The 18,000-nt window shown below is 34.1% G+C and overlaps 1 protein-coding gene across 33 annotated transcripts in view; it reads right to left on the bottom strand.

Moving 5' to 3' along the window:
* NLGN1 (neuroligin 1) overlaps positions 1–18,000 on the bottom strand; it is an 898,421-nt gene that overhangs the window by 355,203 nt on the left and 525,218 nt on the right. The gene's annotated exons all lie outside the window — the stretch shown is intronic.

The following is an 18,000-nucleotide window of genomic DNA, read 5'->3' as shown; positions in this document are numbered from 1 at the left end:
ATTTCTGGAAGCATGCGAAAACTACGTACATTAATTGATTTTTGGAGTAAGTGTTACAGGCTAGCTAAAGAAAGAGATGTGTGCTTTATATCATGTAACCTTTTGCTATGGCTTGCATTTTTTCTCATGTGTTCAGTCATACTTTAAAATATTTTTTTCAATTTTTTAAAATAGGTTCCTCTGGTCATTGTGTTGACAAGCTCGGTTTGGAAAGCATTGATTTACTTATTTCACCCCAAATTATATCTCTGACTCAGTTAGCTGGTAGAATGTTGTGTGGGCTATAGATCACCATCCCTAAATCCTGCTCTTGCCACTAAGGACATCTGTCATAAATCACTGATGCTGGGAGCCACTGAGTTGATGCCTTTTCTCGGTACTTCATACTGTAGGAGCTGATCAGATAAGAAGCAGAGTAGAAAAGAGGGGGGCTAAGGGCCTCCTCTAATCTGGAGGGTGTTTGTTCTAGTCCTCTTGTCAAGCTATAGTATTAGAGAAGCCAAATTAATGATTAATTACTCATTTGATCCTATCTATTACAAGCTTGAGCAGTATGCTTAGAAGTTTTTCCTTTGCACCTCCTTGACATTTTGTATGTGATAGCAGTATATGTCAACACGGGCTAAGTCACACTGCAGTAGCAAAGAACTCCAAAATCTCAGTGGTTTAATACAACAAATATACATTTATTGGTCATTATGCATGTTCACTGCAGATCACTGAAAGGCCTCTGCTCATTCTAGTAACTCAGCCACCAAGACTATGTTTCCATGGCAAATAAATGCTTCAGTACTCAGCATCAACAGTAAAGGGAAAAATAAACATGCTGAGTCATGCTCTGGCTCTTACATTTTCTGCTATGGAGGGGCACTTGCTCACGTTTTATCCTCTAAAACAATTCGAATGGCCATACCTAACTTTGAGGCACTGGAAAGTATCATTCTACTCCGAGCCTGAAAAGAGGAGAACTGCAATTCTTGTGAATAGCATTAGTGACTACTCAACCACACTCAAAATATGATGCAATTTCTGTTTTCCATGCTAGAAAGTGAGCTCCTTGAAGAAAAGGACCCTCTTTTAATCATCTTTGTATTCCCAGTGTTTGACAATTAATAGGTGCTCCATAAGTATTTGATAACATAATGGCCTATTTATGTTTATTGTTATAAGTGTTATATGTACTTAATATAAACCCAGATGGATTGTTTTTAACATCAGAACAACTACATTATTGGGTCACATTTACAAATATTACATTTTAAATTTTGAAATGTTAATGGAGCATCTAGGGTTAACTTTGAAAATGTAAACACTAATGTATATCTTCATACATAATTGACCAGAGAAATTGCCTTGCATTTTTTGATGAAAGACATTTGCTTCTACTATCTTATTTTGCGTTAATCACATTTTTACAAAACCCCAACATTTTGCAGAGATATAATGCAAAGATGTTACAGATGACATAAATAAAATCACTTGTCAAGTGATTAGTAGCTATTAGTAATTTATCTCTAACCATCACTTACTAAGGGATATGGCATAGATAAGCTGCAGATTATATGTTTTCTCCTGCATACAAGTCCTGTCTAATGTTTTCCATTGCAATTAATTTTAAAAATTCACAAAGTTCAGATTTTTAATTCTCAGTAGTAATAAATAACTTGCAATATAAAGATTTGATCAAGTTACACCTATTCTTTGAAGTATCATCATTTCCTGGACTCAATGATAAATCTAATCTCCCAATTTGAGCCACTAGTGAAGTTCATAAAGTATATTAATTTGTTCTCTGAGCTATAATCTTTGTTCTATTTGTATATATCTCAACACCTCTCATTGATGGGTGAATTATTTCATAAGCTCAGTAATCTGAAATCCAGTTTATAATGAAGAAAAAAAAGTACCTATGCAGCTAATATCATCACAGAGTTCATTAGCTGAAGTTTATGTACGCATAATTAATAGCTCATATTCTTACTCAGAGCCAGTGAATCCTAATTTTGGTCACATTTCTAAACATCTTTTTGGTCTGGTTGCTCACTGAATGCTCTGGGACCTATAGTGTGGGATCAGAGGAAGCTGAGGGGGATGGAAGAAGGAAAGTTATTAGTTCCATAATTTGACATTTTAGTTAATTTAGAAAACTTTCATTGTGTTTCTGTGTATACATATATCCCTGTGTTCAAATGAGTTTTATATGCTTTTTACATGCTACTTTAGTTAAGGAAGAAGCCTGTTTTATTTTCTTGTATTTCTAAATAGTGAAAATAAAAATGTTAACCCAATACAGATACAATAAAACCACTGTCAATTCAAAATTCTCTAATTTTTAAATATACTTACTGCCTAACACATAATGATGAATGCTGAAGCAAAAGCACCAATTTTCAGGTGAAAAACTGATGCAAGGAAGTCTGCCGTTTCCGGCTATAATGTTGTAACAGTGTGTTACAACTAAATAAGACATATACCTTGAGGACCTAAAAAATGATAGAATCAATACAGTAATTAATGAATGCTTATGCAAGTTAGTTCATTCTAAAGGTCCTATCTTCAATCTTGTGGCACCCTTTCAGTTGAGAATTTTAATGTAAAAACTTGTGAAAATACTGCAGTAAACTGCAGTAATAACGTCCAAGGGTTGCCATCTGCCATTGTAATCCTAGCCATCCAAGCAAATTCACAATGGTGTCACACTGCTTAGATGTAAATTACCCTTATAATGCTAGAATACATGAGAGAAATACTTCTTGTAGTGTTTATTGACCTGAAATTTCTAAACCCGTGGTGTAAGGATCTGGAATAATGCAAATTAAACACACTGTAATAAACATAAAATGCATGGTACTTATGAAGAAGTGTAGGAGGTAGGCATCTACATGGCCATGCTTAAGATGAAAAATGGTGCCCTTAAGGAGAAAGCAGATGTAGAGACTGAATTTATAAACTACAAAACTAGAATAAATGTTTGAAACATATAAACACAATACAGAAACCAACCACTTATTTTATGTCAATTTTGTGAGAACCATTACATAAGATCTATGAAAAAAAAAAAGACTTAATGTGCAAATCCAAAGGTCTTTATAAAAGAATGACAACTTTGCACAACAGAATCCATGCCTATGAAAATTTTGGGAACTAATTCAATATTCTCCATGAGGTATTATCCTTGAAAATGTGCTTAAGAACTTTTAACTTGCTCAGAACAGCTTTTGCTGTAGGCTTCACACTGTCCATGGGGAGCAGTAGGTCTTTGGTGTCTCAAAATCTGTATTAGCTATCAACTTCCCTCATGATATAATTCAATATTTTCTCTTAGTTTACAAATTCTAGTAATTTTTAATCCTTGGTTGCTAAACATTGTTTCTTTCACTAACAATTGGTTTAAAAGATTCAAAAATACATACACACAAAATAAAACCAAAACACACTAGTCTATCCAAAATCTAATTTCTGGTTTTAGTGGATTTTTATTGGTCTGAATCAATTTAACAGTAAGGCAGAGAGAGACAGAGAGAGAGAGAGAGAGAGAGAGAGAGAGTGTGTGTGTGTGTGTGTGTGTGTGTGTGTAGACTGTATATTCTCATGACAAATGGAACCTGTCACTTTGAACTTCAAGATTCTAGAAGTTGGCTAACTTTGTGGAAGAGTGTCATTACTGGATTTTTTGTTTCTCCTGGGCTCCAATAAAACCAGTATCTACTGACATGCAGGGCAGTAAAAAAAAGTCCATATTTTCATGCTGGACTACATAAAAGGAAAGTTTTAGATTAGACTTTATTAATTCTCATTACAAGATTTTAACCAAGAATTGTACCTTTCATTCACTAAGCTGCCGCTAAACTTCATCTCTGATATTTTTAGCTGTATAACCTTAGGCAGGTCCCTTAACCTTTATAACCCCCAGATAGTTTAACTGTAAATTAACTGACGTGGGCAAAATTGTGATAGGCTTTGCTTGCTAAAAAACCAGGTTGGATTTGATGCAAAATGATGAGGGCCTGAACTAAGGCAGTGGGAATAATAAGGAAGAGAAAGATTCCAGAACTCCCAGAAGATGGGAACATAGCACAGAATTTAAGAGCAATGATTGGTCTGAAAAAGCAGCTTTGCTTGTAAATAATGGAGTGGTCTGGGACAGACATTGTAACCATTAAGACTTACTTTCCTCATCTGTATAATGGAAATAATAATACCTACCTCACAAGGTTGCAATAAATTTTTGAAACAAAATACTAGGATAGAGACTCTTTTATTAAGAAATTTGCCACAGGCATACATAATATATTATGTCTTTAAAGAGATATTATCGGGTTTTTAAATCAGCTGCATCAGATATTTAAATAGTGACATGTGAGTGACAAAGGTATGGCCTCAACTTGCCTTGTGATTTAATTCTTACCTAAAGGCTAATTTTGTGATAAAGATGGATTCATCAAGAGGTTTTCTGAGAAAATACTTTGAGAATACTCATAAAAGAAAATAACAAACTGCTTCTTATTTACAGAATACGGTTTTTCAGGGTGTAAAAGATCAGGGGAAGATAAAGTGTGAAATGTGACCTCTGTCTTGAGAAAAGGCCAGAAAGCTAAGAAGCCCAATGATAAGTGTATATTTACTCAAAGTAATTCTTATCCTCCATATAAAAAGTCACCATTTGAGTTTTATCCTAATATTAATGTAACCTGTGGTTTGCATGCAGTCAATAAAAATATTTGCTGATAATTCAAATGCAAATGTTTACTATTGACGTCATTATTCACTTTTTCTTGCAACCGCTTCATAAAACAAAATGAAATAAACAAGTTAGATATCAATTATTTTATTATTATAACATAATAATGGTTTATTATTAAATAATATTAGTATAATATTAAAACTACTACTAATATTAATACTATATAGTATTATATACTATAATAGTACATTATTATTATTATTGTAACTTAGATATTCGTGTTTTTTTACCTGCCACAGAATGCAAAACACCCCAACTTTTTTAATGATTCTGGAAAATTGTTAGATGTTATTTAAAGTTCATTTACATGTAGTTATTTTATTGCACATATGGTTTTTCTCTAATGATATTATACAGTTTTGCAAAGCAATACAGTGTCTTTTGCACCTCTCCTAATACTAATAGCACTGTGTATCATTTAGGTGTTGAAACATTTCTCCTTCAATGAGAGGAATATTTCTTTATTATTATTTAATAGAACATCCTTATTCACTTATAATATATATTAATACAAAGGACTGTGATCTGACAGATATCTTAAGAAAAAAATTACCCAAACCAAACTGAACCTTTGAGGTTGAGAGATACATGTGAGATTAACATTTATGAAGTACATTGAGAATTTGCTTGATGTTATTCAGAACAAAGAAATAACCTAGTCACTGCCTAATGGGATTTGTGTCTAAATTAGGGGAAAGTAAATAAAATATCAGAAGAAAGCTCAGTTGATTTATCTGATAGTCATTATCATTTCATCATATGTTTCTGAAAGAGGAAATAGAAAAGACCAGAAGGAAGAACTATGTCAAATCTGACTCCTCTCAAAATCCTTGGGGTCTTCCCAAGTACCAGGGATCTGAATAACTTGCCATTTGCGGCAAGCTAAATAAACTGTGTCTCAGATACCTGCTATCTTTAATTGTCAACCAAGATAGATACCCCTCTGGCCATTTTTCTTACACTTTTATTACACTCTCTCTAGAATCCCCATCTGTAGTCATCAAACTCCCTTAATCCACAGATCCTTTGAAGTTCTGGCCTTGACTGAAATGGTTCTTATTGTAAAGTCTCCCACTAGTGGAGGCTCATATTTATCTTTTGAAGATCTAGTGGTGGGAATCAGCCCTTCTCTCCACAATGAGGCTTTGTAATCATTACTTTTCTACCTCCTCTCTCCTGCCATTCTCTGAGCTTCTAGTGTTTCACCGGAGGTGCCCTTCTGAATAGTTTGTTTGCCTTCTTATCTCTTTCATATTGACACCTATTTTTCCCATTCAATTACTTAATGACTCTCAAAATAACATTTTTCACACTTCACTGAGGCCTCTCCTACTTTCTCTTAAGGTTTTCTGAGCTTTTCTGTTGCCTGTCTCAGAGTTTGCTTGTTTAGGACTTCTTGTGATTCTTTGAGTATCTTCCAATAAATCCCATCCTTACCCACCACCCCATTACCTTTATACATAAATTAATATTTCTTAATTTCAGATGGCTTATGCCAAAAGAACTGTGGCAGATATTCTTACACTTACACATGAGCTAAGCTATAATACAGCACCTCCTGGGGCAGCCAGTGTCTGGGATGAGTCACATCTAACTGACTCTTCATATATGCAAATCAGCTATTCCCTGGCACTCAGCAAGTCACCCAGCCAAACAGCCTTCAAGAGGGCTGAACACTTTAATTCTCTTTAGCCTCTAAGAAATTTGATGAAACCATCACTCTCATCAAGATTAGCAAAGAAAGAACATTTTAGTCATTCCACAAAGAATCTGGTTACACACCCTAACTTCTCAGTCACTGTAGGTGCTGTTACTATCTGAACAATTCTCCTGAGCAATAGTATTAAAGCTAATTTCTTTCTTTCTATTCTCCAGATTTAATTTGCAGACAAATCCTACCACACTTTTTTTTTTTTTTTAAATAATGTGCACCTCCTTTCTCTCTCATAGACAGATGTCCTAGTTAAGTACTGGTTTGTTTTCTGCTTACACACAACTCATTGCTCTTCAGCATCCTTGAATTAATCATATCAGAACATTTCCCTATATAACTCAAGCTTAGTGATAACACGATATGAAAGAGGAGTTATAGATTAATTTATTTCTTATGAAGCAACTTAAGGAAAAAACTGAAAACTAAACTATTGCCACAATGACACAAGACAATTTGAAACAGTACCATTTTTAACTTGATCACAGTGGAAACAGGACAACTGATTACAAATAACTGAAAAAAATAACCAAATAGCTCATTTAAGATTGATCCTGTGTACCCACATGCTCACCTAGACACAAATGCATTGAAAGAAGAAAACAGAACAAATAAAATAACTCTTATCTTTCAGTAATGGAAACCCAATCCTTCCATTTGCTCTGGAAAACAAAACAAAACAAAACAAAACAAAACAGAAAAAAAATTAAAACAAAACAAAACAGAAAAACACCTTAAAGTCATCTTAATTCTGCTTTTTTCTGACGCATCTCTCATCCAAACTGTGAAAAGATTATTTTGGCTGTACCTTCCAAGATAATTTATACTCTCAGTGCTTCTTACTACTCTTAATGCTACTACCCCTTCCCAATTCACCATTTTCTCTCACTTGGATTATTACAATAGTCTCTTAACTGGTCACCTAACTCCACACAGAAGCCAGAATGATGCAGTTAAATATAGGTCAAATCTTTTCACATTTCCTCTCAAAACTCTCTAGTGATTTCCTTCCTTCTACCCAGGCAAGGTAAAATTCTTCAATGATCTAACAGAATTTGGCTTCCTACTCTCTGACTCTATTTCTACTCACTCTTTCTCTCATTCACTTTTCAATCCCTCAGTTATTGCTGTTCCTTCAATATCCAGGACACACTTCTGCCACAGGGCCTTTGCAATTACGATTTCTTCTGCCTGGAATGCTCTTTCCTAGATAGCCACAAGACTTAACTTTCTAGCTTACTTCAAAACCTGTCTTTAAATGATCTTTCCTCATTGAAGCCTTCCATGACCAATCTATTTGAAAATAGGGACCCAAGCCCCCTCCACCCTGTAACCCTCCATGTTCCTTATGCTACTATGCCACCTCTATGCTTTGTTTTTTCTTCAAAGCACTTCTCACCCACTAACATTTTAATTTTTATATATTTATGATGTTAGCTTCTTATTGACTTCCCCTGAATAGGACATAGGCTCCATGAAGGTGGAGCCTCTCATTTTGTTTTGTTTATTGGTTCCTCCAGAGCCCCTAGAGTGATGCTTGGAAAATCATAGGTTTTCATTCAAAATTTATTGACTGAGTTTCTAATAGAAGCAATGAATGTAAAAATGTCAATATAACTAAGCAATCATAGAGATTGAGATTAGGCTCCATAAATGTACTGAAATGAATACTAGCAAATTACAATAATGGATAGTTTCATGGTGCTTTATAGTTTACAAAATACTTCTAAATATACACACACTCTCTTTTCTTAAAAAGACTGTGAGTGAGGAGGTAGTACTATTTTCTCTTTATAGGTAAGAAACAACATCAGAGAGCTTAGTGACTTACTGGAGGCCACACAGATTTTAAACAGGCCACCCTGACTTCTTGAACAATTCTATCTCCTGGAGACTGTATTTCATTACCTACTCCAAGAGAACTCTCTAGACCTTCAAATCTCCTCCCTAATTCACATAATTATAGGGTGTTTAAAAGACACTGTGTTCTCTTTTATTATGAAGACTGGACTTCCGAAGCACCAGGATGAATATGACAATTGAATTAACACTTCATTTTCTTAATTCGTATTTTGGGGTACAAAAGACATCCTCTAAACTCTATCCTTCTTTCTTAGATTATCTCAGTCTATCCTGGTTTCTTAGCTAGGGTGAAATAGCTTTTCACCTACTTGTATTACATTACCTTAAGTACTTAAATTTCATTTTCAATGAAACCCTGTTTAATGAATATTTATGAGTATGTCCCTGCAGTGTTCATTCAATGTGTAGACTTCCCTTCACAGCGGGCTGCAGTTTTACATTTTGCTTTTTATTGCTAAAATGTTAGCCATACAAATTGATGTTGCTTAGGAAATATGAAAATAACAGTTCCTCCTCTAACTTGAACATTTTTTGCCAGAGTTACCTGGTGCAGCACTGATGGTGCTAAAAAATAATAAATAACAATAATTAGAATAATCATCCCCAACCTGGAATAATATGCGATTTACATTTTTGATAAATGATATTAAAGTATAAATCTCCCAGTAGGTACGGAATTTCCAAGCTAAAACATTCATCATTTATAAAAGCATCAAGTGGAGATGCTGAGATAAATATTCTCTTCTCACCGTGACTAGCACCTACTAGTTTTTTGTTTTGTTTTTGTTTTTTTGCCATCAGGTGTCATCAGAAAAAAGTTGTAGGAAGGAATTTATTTGAAGAAGCTTGGCCAGGCGTGGTGGCTTATGCCTATAATCCCAGAACTTGGGAGGCTGAGGCAGGCGGATCCACCTGAGGTTGGGAGTTCGAGACCAGCCTGACCAACATGGAGAAACCCTATCTCTACTAAAAACACAAAATTAGCTGGGCGTGGTGGCACATGCCCATAATCCCAGCTACTCGGGAGGCTGAGGCAGAAGAATCATTTGAACCCGAGAGGCAGAAGTTGCGGTGAGCCAAGATCGTGCCATTGCACTCCAGCCTGGGCAACAAGAGCAAAACTCTGTCTCAAAAAGAAAAAAAAAAAGAAAAAAAGAAAAAAAGAAAAAAAAAAGCTTATTGGGTAGACATACACTTTAATAAGGAGATTTGTTTCTCTCAGAAAATATTTGGGAAATTTTAAGTTGGTTTCTTTCCTCCTTTTTTTTTTTTTTTGGAAATGACAGTGATCATTTATAAAATATTCCATTGTAACTACAGAATCTAAAGTCACATAACACCTATCCACTCAGCAAAAGGTAACTCCAATTAAAACTCTCTGTGTGTGGTCTGACTTCAGATATTGTGTGGGCAAATCTGACAACCTGCAATATCCTTTGAATTTCTTTAAGGTGAACATACAACTTAGCTGGTTATTTTCAAGAAAGAAAAAAGATGCAAGAATGCAAAATAAATGACACCAACCATATCGTGCTCAGATTGTAAGCCCCTGATGACAAGAAGATAGCTGATCATCCTGCAATGGTTACAAGTTTTTCTTCCATCTGAAGCCATCCTGAGCAATTGAATTAGGCAAGGAGCGCTTTGCTCCTTTCAAATCAGGGAAAAGTAAGAACTTCATGTAAGTTTTGTATATTGAACACATATTAAATGGAATATATCTAATTTTTCCAGTTGATATAAGACCTTTGGATTGGATACATAGAACCTATTTCACTAAAAAATTTAGAGGTTCTTAAATACAGCATTCTACAAGAATAGGATTTATAATAATCGACCTTTCCTTTTTAAATTTTCATCCTCTCAAAAATTAACTATGTCAGGCCAGGCATGGTGGCTCATGCCTGTAATCCAGCACTTTGGAAGGCCTAGGCAGGTGAATCACTTGAGGTCAGCAGTTCAACACCAGCCTAGTCAACATGGTGAAACCCCATCTCTACTAAAAATACAAAAAATTAGCCAGACATGGTGGCACATGCCTGTAATCCATTACTGGGGAGGCTGAGGCAGGAGAATCTCTTGAACCCAGGAGGCAGAGGTTGCAGGGAGCCGAGATCGTGCCATTGTACTCCAGCCTGGGCAACAGAGAGACTCTATCTCAAAAAAAAAAAAAAAAAAATTAACTATGTCTAATCTATTGTGAGCATACCTCTAAATATCATTTAATTGAAGGGAGACAGAGAGACCTCATACCAAATACAAAGTTGAACATTAAGGCAAAGGCCTTTTATTTAAATCTGTGAGATTTAATTCAATTCAATGAATATTAAGTGCCTTTCATGTGTCATGCACTATGTGACATAGTTCCTATCTCCAAGTATTACAGATCTTAGTTATCCCAATAAATCTTTGAGGCAAGTATTTTTAAGATTATTTTGTTTAAGAGATAAGATACTTAAGACTCGAAAAGTTCAAGTGCTTTGTCATGATCACAGAAGATAATGTACCACACAGTTGAGGCTCCTGTCACTCACGAGGCAAAAAGGAAAGTTACCAAAGAGGCTATGTGGTGATCCCCAAGAACAGAGGATCAGAAGACTCTGTCACTTAAAAGTGTGTGACCCTGGACAAATTAATTTTCCGAGTCTGGGTTTCCATATATAAATAACACTAGCCAATTTATAAGATTAACAATAGGTAACTCACAACTTAGGTTGTAAAATCAGAAGTTTAATATTAAAGTTGTTAAGAATAATCACAATAACTCTTTTTGGTCATGGTAATAAAAACAAATAATGGAGATCTAGCTACACTTGTATTTCAGAAAATGTGTGTGCAACCCTGAATGTTAGGGAATTTCAACTACTCAGAGGGGTGTTCTACAATTCCTACATAAAAAGCACTGTGCCGGACACAACCAGGTCTTCAGAGAAGTAAGGACTCTTGGAGCCCCTCTCCCTATCACTGAAGAAGCATGCTACAGGGATCACAGGGCCCTCTGCAGCTGCTCTCGGGTTCAGAAGGAAGAAAGCCTGTTTCTGTGACACACCAGCATACCTGTTTGTGAATGTACATGTATGTATGTATGTGTGTTTCTGTATCTGTGTGTACGTGTGTGTGTGTGTGTTTTCTGGAGCGGCAGTTGAGAGTGGGAGAACAATGTCCCCCTTGTCTCCTCCAATCCTAAAATGAGGCCACTCTTGAAAAATGTGCAAATGCTAACTTTCCAGGGAGGTCTTTCTAACTTTACTCCCCATCTTCCTCTTACACTTTGGAAACAGCCAGAAGTAGCCTGAGCAGTGAATGGGAAGAAGTGTATAGTAGCCAGGAAGAGCAGGAGGAGAGACTAATTGTGTCCCCATCCCTCCCTTAAGTTTCTGAGCCTATGTCATGACTGAGTTAGAAGGGGAGGATTCACACTAGATGAGAGACTTTGGCTTAGATATTAGGCTAAACTCTACACTTTTAAATACTAAAAAATGAGGCAATTTGGCTGGGCATGGCGGCTCATGCCTGTAATCCAGCATTTTGGGAGGCCAAGGTGGATGGATCACGAGGTCAGGAGTTTGAGACCAGCCTGACCAACATGGTGAAACCCCATCTCTACTAAAAATACAAAAATTAGCCAGGCGTGGAGACATGCACCTGTAATCCCAGCTACTCAGGAGGCTGAGGCAGGAGAATCCCTTGAACCCGGGAGGTGTAGGTTGCAGTGAGCCGAGATCATGCCACTGCACTCCAGCCTGGGTGACAAGAGTGAAACTCCATTTCAAAAGAAAGAAAAAGAAAGGAAAAAAAGGCAATTCATAACTCAGAAGGTGTTCAGAAAAGGAATGAGAAGTTTGCTGATCATGGGGAGAAAAAAATCATTTGCCACATCTGGATAAAAGAGAAAGTGGTAAGAAAGACTCAATTGGCTTTCCAGTTACACTCTACCAAGATCATTACAGGCAATAAAGCAGTTAATAGTCCTATAACTTTGAAGGTGGTACTGAATTGCCTAAAGGTATGGTTAACAATGGGTGGGTTAAGGTTTATGTTAACATCAGGACTGAAAATACTTCCCTGCACTTTCCCCACCCACTCGCAAACAGAGTTTCTAAAAGTTTCTAACTTGGATGGATGCATTTCCTGCCTTCATGGAGCATGATGCCACGTAAACATGGAACATTACAAGGTGCGATATAAGATAGCTACAGGTAATGAAAATCTCGTGAGGTAAAAGAAACGAGATTCACTGTGCTCTTGCCTAGATAAAGAACATTGTAAAGTGGAGAGAATTTGAATAAATAGTAGAGAATGATAAATACATGGATGTATACACCGGTAGGTTTGTTGGAAGCAGATTATTCTCAGAATTTAGTGGGAAGTAAGATTGGGATTAGACCATGGGACTCAGCAAACCACTTAGGTGAACTTGATTCTCTATGGCAAGCTGCGAGTTATACTTGACTTTTGTGGTTAGGGAAAATGATGAAATAAAAAAGTATTATTTAGAGAAACTAGAGTTGGAGACTTAGACGTTTTTGAGATTTCATAGTATACTTAAATCATAATTAGTAAAATTATCTTTTCCAGAATAGAGATAGTTCTTTTAATAGTCCTTAAGAGTTATTTTAAATTGTTAAGAGTGGTAGTCTTTTTTGATACAGTTATCTTTGTCCTTAGATAACATGAAAACAGAAAAAAAAATACTATTTAAAGTTAATAAAAAAGTATTTTAAAAAAAATCTTTAGACCTGAAAATCTAAATGTATTTCATTTTTTAGTCACTGAATTTTTTTAAAAATAGAATTAGATTATAGTAAGATCTTAGAATTTTTAGTATACCAAGATTCTAATGAAAATGACAGCACTAAAAATAAGAATGAATGACAGCTAAAGAAGTTTTGAATGGCATGTATGCTTTTTGAAAATCTTTGCTTTCTAATTGGAGTGAGAGAAATCAGAACAATGACATAGATTTTATTTTTAAAATAATCAACTTTTTAAAGGTACTGTAATGTTCTATTTCTTAATCTGGGTGCTGATTCATTATTATTCTTTAAGCTATGAATATATATATTTATAATTTTTATCTCTGGTCTACTTTTAAATAATTAATCTTCTTAGAATACACTTACATATATGTTTGTCAACAGATCCACTTTTTGGGAAAAGATATCCAATCTTATCTTCCCCTACTCTGCAGACAGGCTCCCTGGCCTTTGCTCTGGGAGCAGGCTCTTCCTTTCTGTCCTGGTTCCACACCCAGCAATTGGATTGTATTCTTCCAGCTCCCAGGTTAGCAGAAAGTGGCACAATGGTTCTGTGAGGGAGGCAGGTAAAGAAAACATCTGGGCAATAGTAATTGTTACTACTCTATACTGGGTCCAGGTAGATGACATTCTAATTATTCTGAATTGGTGAAATAAAAACAGCAGCTGCAGTGGTATATTCTTCTCTTATTTCTCCCATGGATTGAGCTCATTTGTCAGAAGGTTCCTACTCTCTGAATTCTTTAAATGAACTATTTTTTTTCCTCAAACTGTTATTAGTCCAAAACTTGAATCAAAATACCAACATCCCCAAAAGATCCTCAGTGGCTTATTTTCATTATCCAGGTACAGCTTTCTAAAATGTCACTTTTTAATTAAGTACTTAAAAATGGATAACATTACTAACATCTACAAATGTGAATTTCTAGTACACTAAGTGGTGTTTTAATTAATATTCCTGCATTTTATCTTCTCATCTTCTTCCCCCACCAAAAGAAAAAAATAGGTTTGATCCATTTTGTGTTTCAATGTTTCTGTGTTATTATTTCTTTTATTAACTTTTAGAAAGAATATCAAGATGCCAAAGAAAATATCCATAGGCAAAACCAAAAAACTCAAAATTGGTTTTTAAAGGTAATACTGTAAATATTTCTAAGGAATTCTAGATTAAAATTTAAGTAAAATGTTAGTAAATATACCAAGTAAATATTTCATTTTCAAAATAATCATGCCATCTTAGAACCAGATGATCTTTGAAAGGGTTCAAGTTAGTGGTTTATATATATTTTTACCCATATACCTTCTAAAAGAATATTTTAAGAACTATGTCACTTAAATGGCTTCTCATAAGTTTAACATTTAAAAATATATAATTCCCAACATACAGTAAATATTGGCATGTTATAAAAATTGTTTTGACTCTTTTATTTGTATCTAATTGAATTTTTATTTTTATTTTTATTTTTTTTTTTGAGACAGGGTTATACTCTGTTGCCTAGGCTGAATTGCAGTGGGGTGACTATGGCTCACTGCAGCCTTGACATCCTGGGCTCAAGGGATTCTCATACTTTGGCCTCTGAAAGTGCTGGACTACAGGCATACCTAATTGACTCTGAAGGCCACATCAATTTAAGACCTACTATCATACATTACAAAATAGAATGCATCAAAAAGCCCTGCACAGTTAAAAGATTTTGCATTGTTTCTTTCTGTCTTTGGACTTTTATTTCACCTTCTCCATAATACTGTATTTTAATGAAATACATTTTTCACGTTTGAGAGACCTTTATCAGGTCTTAAAATTTTGTGCAATGAAAATATGTATATAAATAGAAATTTAAATTTAAAAAAATTCCTGTGATGGCAAAATTGTTAATATATCTCTTTCAGGTTTTTGTAAAATTATTATTGATATGCACTTGATCCAAATAAATAAATACATTTGATGATTACTAAACAAATGTTTTTAAATGTATTGGGAATTCAGTCCTTAATGAGATGGATGATCTCTGTTTCTCCAATCAGTTTTTGTAGTCATGGCTGAATTTTTTGTATTGCTATAAGGTAATATTAAACATAGATTTTATGCTTAGTTTTATTTTTATAGATGTCAGTTTTGAGAAAATTCACATAAAGTAAATGAGAATGGAAGAAGTTTTATTCTAAAAAATGCCATTCAATTATTTGAACTTTTTCCAAGTTATATGCCAAAAATCATGTAGATATCTATGATAAAAATTACTGTTAATGATCTCTCAGCTGACAACTCAATTATCATCACCTTCAATTTTGTTGAAAAGAAAGAAATGAAAATTAACTGACTTGTAAAAGGAGTTTTTACTCAGCCATTCTTTTTCTAAATACAATCACCAATATTTTAAATATTTTCTTTACTTAATGATCTAAGGATTTTTTGTTTCAATTTATTTATCAGATTTATACTGAAAATTTAATGAGATGTGAGAGGGAGATTATGTCATACATCATTCAGGTAACTCTAAGAATATTTTCTCAAAATTTCTTTGTCTTGGAAGATGTTTAACCCACACCAGCAATTTTTAAATCACAGGATCAGTAAACTATAGGAAGAGAGAGATGTACACCATTCTTTATGAAGTGCCCTTCTAAAGAGGGAAGAAGAAAAGGAATACAGTGTAATAGCTCTCTGTGGCAGGCAATTCATTCTGGCCAATTCATTTTAGGGTGGGGTATGTATGACCATTCAAGATGCAGATCTCAATTCCTTTAGAAATGCTGATTCTGAAACTTTTGGAAAGTCCTTTTGAAGTTCCAGAAGTTTACGAAGAAAACAATTACCACAAAACAGACCCTCTACTCAGGCTCCTATCTCTGCTGCCTTTCCCACAGACCCTAGCAACCATGGTAGTAAACTGACTTTTTTCCACCTCTTAGCTTCCTATTTCCTCTTCACTTTTAAGACTCATAGACTTAAAAATATGAAATATAGTCAAATAAAGTTCGAAACTATTAGATTAGGTATCTTACCTTTTGGCTTTGTAGGTAAGATTGCTGAAAAAATGTTGATGAAATGTGATATGAAGTTACAATAATGACGATGATGATAATAATTATATAGTATGTATGTGCCAGTCATTATTACAAAAGCTTTTCATGCATTAACTTATTCAAATCTCAGAACAGGCTTATGAAGTGGACTCAATTTCTCTTCCCATTTTCAGGTGAAGAAACTGAAGAATAAAGAGTTTAATGGAATTGCTCGTGGAATTTAACCCCAAGCAGTCTACCTGCTATGTCAGTTCACCTAACAAACACTACTCCATTAAAATATTATTCTATCAGTTGGGGAAATTGCTTTCCAGAGACGACACATGGCATTAGAATAGAAGCCAAAGTAGTTAACTGTTTCTAATAAAGAGCTTAAGCTTCTTTTTATCAATAATCCTTACCAAAAATCTTCCATCTCCTCCATTCTGAGAAGATAAATCTGCAGTTCTTGAAGTGTGTAAAATTAATATAAATAACCAGCTTGAAAAAATGTACCCAAAACTCATTTGGGATGAAATTTTAAATAATTTTATGAAAGTATAATAGTTTTATGAAACATAATATTTAATGTTTTTATTTCCTAGGAAAAACAGAATGTGAACAAATATGTTCAGATGCATGATGAGAAACAGCTTTTTAAAAATTTGAGCTATATTTCTTAGCAAAGTTAACATTATATATAATTCTCTTCACATTTTTGTAGTATACATGCAGCTACCGGTATACTGTCTAAACTATATTTGTGTCTTTTTCTTCCACAGTGCTTGGCAAATAACTTATATTAGCCTTATTCTTTCTATTTAAAGTTCAAGAAACATTTATTAATAAAAATTGATCAAACACATAAAAACATAAATATTTAGTTCTTTATACAAATTTTAAAATTCCAAGTCATAAAAAAATATAGATTTCTATATTATTCGTTAATATGTGCAGTTGTATTAGCCTGGATCAATGAGGCTGTTTCCTTAAAACATTATTTAGAAACTGATTAAAGTAGCAAATAACTAAGAAACACCACCACCACCAAAAGACATTAGGTAAAGCTTAGGAATTATGTAGCACCACCCTGGGTTGCTAAGGCCCTGAATTGGGCTCTGCTGTAGCTGTTGGTATAATGTATTCAGAGTGGCACAAAGAAAAACCTTCTGCTTAGAAAATGAGTGGCAAGTTAGAATAAGCATGCCCTAAGGGTCTGTTTCAGTCAGCCAGTGATTCAAATAGCCCCAACTACTACAATTAGCAATGATCAACACCACTTAATTCTTCATGATGTCAATTTCTGATAACCGTATTTTCAAAGGTTTTATACGTAGAAGAAGGAACATCCTGATGAGAATACATACTCGTTGCTAGGAGGGTTCAGCTCATTTCAAGTTTTAACACTCATTAGCTGTACGACTTGGGAGAAGTCAAAGAACTCATACACATGTTAACTGTTTCCTTCAATGAGGGTAAAATAATCTTGTTGGAAAAATATCTTGATAATCTCTTAACTGAAATAAAAAGTTAAATTAATAAATTTAATTAAATTTGAGTTGCTGAGAAATAATATTTTCCTAGGGTAAAATAAATGAGATTTGATCACAATTAAAACAGTATAAATGAAGCCTTTAGAGAAAGGAAAGAAAACCATTTTTTTACGTGTAAATGCATTCCTTGTATGAACTGAACTTGAACACAGAAAAAATAAATTACTACAAATGAAACAATAGATTACTAAAATCAATTGAATTATTTTCCACTATATATAATATATAGTAGAAATATATAATATATATTAAATGTATAATAATGCTATATATTATATATACTACATATATATACCATATATTATACATGCATAGTATATATATTATATATACTACATATATATTGTATATATAATATGTAATATA

Source organism: Homo sapiens, chromosome 3 (genome assembly GCF_000001405.40).
Source record: "Homo sapiens chromosome 3, GRCh38.p14 Primary Assembly".
NCBI classification, from domain to species: domain Eukaryota; kingdom Metazoa; phylum Chordata; class Mammalia; order Primates; family Hominidae; genus Homo; species Homo sapiens.
Note: the sequence above shows the minus strand (reverse complement) of the source record. Positions and strands in the feature narration are given on the sequence as shown.